Source organism: Homo sapiens, chromosome 7 (assembly GCF_000001405.40).
Source record: "Homo sapiens chromosome 7, GRCh38.p14 Primary Assembly".
NCBI lineage: Eukaryota > Metazoa > Chordata > Mammalia > Primates > Hominidae > Homo > Homo sapiens.
In genome coordinates, this window is record NC_000007.14 from 55643811 (window position 1) to 55651549 (window position 7739).

General features: G+C 44.4%; 1 pseudogene; it reads left to right on the forward strand.

Moving 5' to 3' along the window:
* Positions 1656-3311, forward strand: TUBBP6 (tubulin beta class I pseudogene 6; annotated as a pseudogene).

The following is a 7739-nucleotide window of genomic DNA, read 5'->3' on the forward strand; positions in this document are numbered from 1 at the left end:
TATTTTAATGAGTGGATCTAACGTACGTAATGTATGTAGTGAAGTGTTTATATGATGAAAGATAAATCTAAGAATGCTACTTAAAAGATGTGTTGTTAACTGTATTAATTCAGTAAATTAAAGTGTTTACCAAGCTGTATAGTATACAATAATGTGTTTAAATATGCTTCTTTAAAGATATTTGTTACCAGAGAGGGTAATGTCAGCAAGTTGTTAGAATAGAAACTATCTCACTCTACTTACTTCCACAGAAATTCAACTAACAATTTTCCACAGTTTAGAGTATCTTTGTAAATATCCCAGAACTTGAGAGTGAATCTGAGACATCTTCTTGAACTACAGACCGAGAGAAGCCATGCATAAAGCGTAAGAGGAATGATTTCACTTTGACCAAGTTGCTCTTCTCCCAAAACTGCACAGTGCCACACACAGTGTTTTCCAGTAACCATGTTATTTTTTCAGAGGGAGAAAAAAATTGGAGGTGAATATTTAGCTTTCCTATTATTCTGGGGCCATTCACAGGAGATACCATCTTGTCTCACCTCATGGGACATATTGGAGGGTATCAGAGGAGCTGGTCCTACCCTAGCCTACGTGTTTTTCCAGCCCAGTACCATTTCATCTCACCAATACTCACACTGACCCCAGGACATCCTGAAGGCTCAGATCTAGCCTTTCTTCCTCTTTGCAAAAAGACCTTTCTCTACCCAGACATACAGGGACACCATTTTATACACCCACCTTAGGTGTTCTAAGGAAAAGCGCTTATCCTGATTGACATATCTGTGAAAAGTAAACAACTTTCCCAGTGGAAGGTGACAGAATTTGGGCTGCTCTGATTAAAATTATCTGGCTTAGTGCTTGCTACAGGTGTAGGGTCAGATAGAAATTGCAGGGAAAGATTACTGTTGCCGTTTCGGTTCCCTCCCCTGCCAGTAGGTGAAAAGCTAGCCCTATGGCCTGTAGTATAAATATAAGTGCATCTGTGTGTGTTTGGTGTGTGTGTTTGCATTATGTTTATTACATGCACATTTATACAAATATGTATTTATATATTTATGTATGCATAAATGTATATTTTTATGTTATTACATATAAGATCTTTATTTTATTATTTATAATATATATGAATTTTTTCCTGCTTGCATGCAAAGGCACCACCACAAACTGGCAGACAGTGCTACAATGTCGTATGTATAAATATTTATATTTTAATTTCTATTTATTTATATGTTGATGATATATTTGTAAATGTTTCCTATTTCATTTAAAATGTATGCATTTATATGTGTGTAGATACTAATTTCCAGTTATGGTTTTACTTGTGCCCTGTATGCTTAAACATTCCAGGCTGATCAATTGTGCTACATTGTTTACTCAGACTACAGATTCCAAAACGCCAAGACCCGGCTGAGGCTTCTTCTGGTCTAAGCGGGAAGATGCGGCTATACACTGGACTTTACGTGTCTGGGCCATCTCTTCCCTTGGCATTTGGGAAAAGTTCACTTCTCCTATAGGAGGGAGCAGAGAAACTTGGCTGACTGTTTCAGGGCAAATGAAGGAACCAAATGTCTACGGAACCTGGTAATATTAGGCAGTCTTCCATTCAAGTCCTATTTGGACACTGTCTCTCTGAAATTTTAAGAACAGAAAAGCTCTCAGAACCTTCCTGCCACCATGTTCGCACCTCACTGCTCCAGCCTCTGGGGCACATTCTATCCTTTCAGCCTGCGACTAGCAGCAAAAAAAATTACATATTTTCTTGCTCCATACATACCTTGAGGTGAGCAAAAAAATTAAATTTTAACCATGAAGGAAATTGTGCACATCCAAGCCAGTCACTGTGGCAACCAGATCAGTGCCAAGTTCTGGGAGGTGATCAGTGATGAACATGGCATCAACCCACCGGCACCTACCACAGGGACAGCGCCCTGCAGCTGGACCGCATCTCCGTGTACTACTATGAAGCCACAGGTGGCAAATATGTTCCTCATGCGATCCTGGTGGATCTAGAACCTGGGACCATGGACTCTGTTCACTCAGGTCCTTTTGGCCAGATCTTTAGACCAGACAACTTTGCTTCTGATCAGTCTGGGGCAGGCAACAACTGGGCCAAATGCCACTACACAGAGGGGGCTGAGCTGGTTTATTCGGTCCTGGATTTGGTATGGAAGGAGGCGGAGAGCTGTGACTGCCTTCAGGGCTTCCAGCTGACCCACTCACTTGACTGGGACACAGGCTCTGGAATCGGCACTCTCCTTATGAGCAAGATCCAAGAAGAGTACCCTGATTGCTTCATGAATACCTTCAGTGTGGTACCTTCACACAAGGTATCTGACACCGTGGTTGAGCCCTACAATGCCACCCTCTCCGTCCATCAGTTGGTAGAGAACACTGATGAGACCTATTGTATTGACAATGAGGCCCTCTAGGATATCTGCTTCCGCAATCTGAAGCTGACCACACCAACCTACTGGGATCTGAACTACCTCGTCTTAGCCACCATGAGTGGTGTCACCACCTGCCTCCACTTCCTGGCCAGCTCAGTGCTGACCTCTGCAAGTTGGCAGTCAACATGGTTCCCTTCCCATATCTCCATTTCTTTATGCCTGGCTTTGCCCCTTTCACCAGCCGTGGAAGCCAGTAGTATCAAGCTCTCACCGTGCCCCAACTTACCCAGCAGGTCTTCGATGCCAAAAACCTGATGGCTGCTTGTGACCCCCGCCACGGCCAATACCTCACCATGGCTGCTGTCTCCAGTGGTCGAATGTCCATGAAAGCGGTCAATGAGCAGATGCTCAAAGTGCAGAACAAGAACAGCAGCTACTTTGTGGAATGGATCCCCAACAACATCAAGACAGCTGTCTGTGACATCCACCTCATGGCCTCAAGATGGCTGTCACCTTCATCGGAAACAGCACTGGCATCCAGTAGCTCTTCAAGCGCATCTCGGAGCAGTTCACTGCCATGTTCTACCAGAAGGCCTTCCTCCACTGCTACACAGGCGAGGGCATGGACGAGATGGAGTTCACTGAGGCTGAGAGCAACATGAACAACTTCATCTCTGAGGATCAGCAGTACCAGGATGCTACCACAGAAGAGGAAGAGGATTTCAGTAAGGAGGCTGAAGAGGAGGCCTAAGGCAGAGCCCCCCATCACCTCAGGCTTCTCAGTTGCCCTTAGCTGTCTCACTCAACTGCCCCTTTCCTCTCCCTCAGAATTGGTGTTTGCTGCCTCTTTTTTTTTTTCTGGGGGGGTCCAGAATGGTGCCTAGCACATAGTAAGTGCTCAATAAACACTTGTTTGTTGAAAAAAAAAGAACAGAAAAGATGCAGAAGTTTTTTGGCTTGCATGGCCATACACTTCTCAGAATACCCTTGGTGACCCAAAGGTTGGCTGGACACTGACCAGTGCTTCTGGACCAGGGCTACATGCCTGGCTTAGAAACTCCAGGCCCTCCGTAGCTTGCTGGCTCGTGCATGCGCAGTTCTTATCTGCCATCAGGGACTCATCTCACCTACTCTGGTTTGAGCACAGGCATCATTCATTCACCTGGGGTGGCAGGGTCCAACAGTCTGCCTCTAACCTAGTTTTCTTTTTCTAACACCTGCTTTGGCATCCAGAAGTGTTTGTCAAGCCAGACATCTGTATTACATGCTTCTCAAACTTGTGGAGGAGGCCTCAGATACCTGGCTTTTCGGGTGTCGCCAATTCAGAGATTCTTTAGTACTGCCCTGTAGGGTTCTCAAAATCAGCTGGAAACAGCCAGAATAGAATTACTCAAGACTGTATAGCCTTTGGCTTCTGGGGCCATTTTCCTGGCTCCGAAAAGCTCTCAGTGTCTCGCATTGCAGTTCAACCCTGGCCTGGTGTTGCTCTGGCCTGATACCATCTTAGCCCAACACATCCTCAGGTCTCGACCTAGCCTTTCCAACTCTCTGTGAAAAGCTTTTCCTTCACAGAGTGAAGTGTCATACTGGGACACCATTGTACGCACCCACCTCAGGTGTTCCAAAGAAGGGCCCCTATCCTGATCAAGAGGTTGTCTAGAAGTGGACAGTTTTCCCACTGTTGGGTGATGCTGCTTGGGCTGGATCTGGTTTAAGCCTCTGGCCTGGTGTTTGCCATTAGTGTAGGGTCACATGAAACCTGCATGGAAAGACTTCTGTGGCCTTTTCAGCTTCTTTTATTGAGACAATCTTATGGCATCTAGTTTAGATGTAAGTGCATCTGTGTGCATTTCAGTGTGTTTGTGTATTTCTCTGCACTATGTGTATTTTATACATATATTTTATATACACATATACATTTATTATATATACATCTGTCATTATAGGTAATATCTATGTTTATTTTTAAATATATATTTATGAAAAAATATGTTTTTATTTCTCTTGTATGCAGAAATACCACCACCAACTGGCAGACAACTCTACAACACTGTATGTATAAATACCTCTTTTAATTTTATTCATTTATGTGTTGATGTGTATATTCATATATGGTACCTATTTCTTCATACACAAAAATATAGGCATTTATGTGTGTGTATATATATATTTATTTGTCATTTTATCTTTGCTTGTGTGCCATGTATGGGTGAAACACTTTAGACTGACCGATTATGCTATACCGTTTCTTGAGATCAGTGACTTCAAAACACTGAGATCTCACTGAGTGTTGTTTTCTCAGTCGTGTAAAAGATGCAGCTGTTTATTTGACTTCAGGTGTGAAGGACATTTTTCATTCTTTGCCATGTGAGAGAAATCCTCCTCCTGCCCTAGGAGAGCAGAGAGAATTGACCGGCTGTTTCATGTCAAATAGGAAAGCCAAAGGCCTGTGGGACGTGGTAGTTCTTTTATTTCAAGTCCTATTTGGTCACTACCTCTCTGAGCTTCTAAGAACAAGAGAGATGGGGTATTTTTTGGCTTACTTGGCCATTCACTTTGTAGCCTAGCCTTAGTGATCCCATGGCTAGATAGAAAGCTAACATTGCTTTTGGCCCAAGACCACATGCATGGTCTAGGGCCTCAGAGCTTTCCTTAGGTTCCTGAATTACACACAAGCACAATTCACATAACCATGACGGACCTACTTTACTCCACAAACTGGGCCCTATATTGGGGACAAGCATCATTCATTTATCTGGTGTGGCAGGGTCCAAGAGTCTGCCTCCCCTTCACTACTGATGTTTACTGTTTGTCATTCTCCATCCACTGTACCCACCCCCCACTCCTTAATGGCAGCTATCAATTTCCAACTGCCCATGCTGAATTTGGAGAGAGCCCAGTCTCTCTTCCCCATTGCAAGACTCACATAGAGTGATCCCTGTACCTATCAAAATGGCTCTGAATAAAGTCTTCCTTGCCACGTGTTAAAAAGGGTCATAGAATCATTTTTTAACACATGGTAAACTTTATGGGATTTTTTGTCTTTGTTTTTTTTTTAAACCACAGGAAAAACTCTGTGAAATTCTTAAAGAAGTCACAATGATAGAGACAGAAAGAAAAATAGTGGCTGCCACGGAGTGGGTCGGGGCAAGGTGGAGAGTTGGAAGAATGGGGCGTTGTTATTCAATGCTTACAATTTTTTGGTTTTACAAGATGAAAAGAGGAATGCAGGTGGTGGTTATGGTTGCGTAACATTGTAATTGAAGACAGTGCATTTTATGTGTATTTTACCACAATTTTATAAAATTAAAAATAAATAATTACTAACACTAGTACCTAAAAATACATAAACCAAGATACTTCTTGCAGCAATAGGTGTATGACAAAATAACTGGCAACCCTAAAAATGTTTAAAAACAGAATAATAATTGAATAGACTCTGGTGCATCTATACTAAAGTAGAACAAAAGTACTGGGGCCTTAGAAGTCACAGAACTTTCTTAGAATAAAGTAAGCTTTCTCATGGAGAAAGGGTGTATATCCCCAAATGACCAAAGCAGAGGTTCTCCCACCATCAACCCTTCCCTGTCCCCCTCTCAGGTCAGAGTCAGGGGAGAAAGACCCATAAGGAAGAGGTATGTGAGAAGGTACTTCCAGAACAAGTCTCATCTCTTCCCTACATAACCTTGCCACTGTGACCATTTGCCCAAAATACCAAATTATGCTTCTCCTCTGAAAGATTTTCTGTGGAATGGGGCCTAGCTCACCAAGTAAGAGAAAACTCCTAGCCTAGGCTCCCAAATTGATTTGCTTCAGCAAATCTGTTCAGATGCACCCCATTTTGTTGCTTTATTCAAATGCAGAAAACTCTCATCTTGTCAGAGCTGATGACATGTATAGTCTAGGGCTTAAAAACTTCATTTCACAATCCCTCCAATACGCTGAGGCTTTCACACTGCAGAGAACAGGAGAGGAGTGTGTGCGTAAGAAACTCCGTCTGTCTGGGGCAAAATATCACTCCCCTACTTTTCCTAACTCAGGAAACGCCACTAAGCCCTTTGAGAACCATTACTGTGGAGGTTAACATCTTACTCTACGTCCTCCTGAGGTGGCTCAGTGAAAGGGGGATACTAAATTGACTTTCGTGGTGTCAAACACAGGAATGGAGTGATAGAGACCCAGCCCTAGCAGGGTTTAGTTTTGAACCATACACCCTTTGTTTTAGGTTTAACATACTCCCTACTGCAACACTCTGTTCTGGGTGCATGTTTTTATCATTCATCTTGAGGATTCTTGATGTATTCTCACTCTCCCATGCACTTCGCATGGGTAGTCCTCAGCTGCATTTCACTCATGCATGGCAGTAGCCTGCTGGAGTGATTTCATAGGCCTCTTCACCACCAAAAAGAGGCAGATGGACAAACATGAACAAACCCAATAGAAGGCACCCTGGAATGACGAGTTGTTTTGGCAAAATAAGTGGTGAAGGGATAGACAGGCTGTCAAATTGTGACAAATTATGGCAAATTGTGACTCTAGATTGTGATCCACGCTTAATTCTTAAGAAATCAGAATACAGTGAGAGGGGCCAAGATGGCTGACTAGAAACAGCTGCAGTTGGAGGCTCCCAGGAAGAATGAAAACAGCAAGTGAATCCTGCACCAGCAACTGAGGTATCCAGGTTGTCTCATTGGGACTGACTAGGCGGCTGGCATGACACATGGAGAGTGAGAAAAAGCAAGGTGGTGCAACGGTGCACCTGGGAGCCACATGGGGCAAGGGGATCTTCCACCCACGGCCAAGGGAGACGGTTAGTGATCATGATACCCTGCCCGGGAAACCACACTTTTTCCACAGATCTGTGTAACCTGTGGATCAGGAGATCCCTCCTGTGAGTCCACGTCACCAGGGCCTTGGATTCCAAACACAGAGCTGTGCAGATGCTCAGAGGCCACTTAGCTGGAGACTGCTAGAAACTACCCAGTGTCCTGGGGAACGGGTGGTCATTATCACTGCAGCTGCCTGCTACTTAAGATGACTGAGCTTCCTTGGGGGAGGGGTGACAGCCATCACTGCAGCTCCAGTCTGCCATTTTCCCCTGCTGGTGCTGGGGAGATGGGGTAAAGTTTGGACCCAGGAGGAATTCCCCACAGTGCAGCACAGCAGCTGTGGCAGATTGTGGCCAGACTGCCTCTTTAGGCCAGACCCTGACCCATCCCTCCTTACTGAGTGGGGCCTCCCTGCAGGAATTTTAGCAACTCCAGCCAGGGGTTTAGGGACAGAACTCTGATCTCCCTGGGACTGAGCCCCTGCGGGGAGGGGCAGCCATGATCTCCATGGATCAGCAGA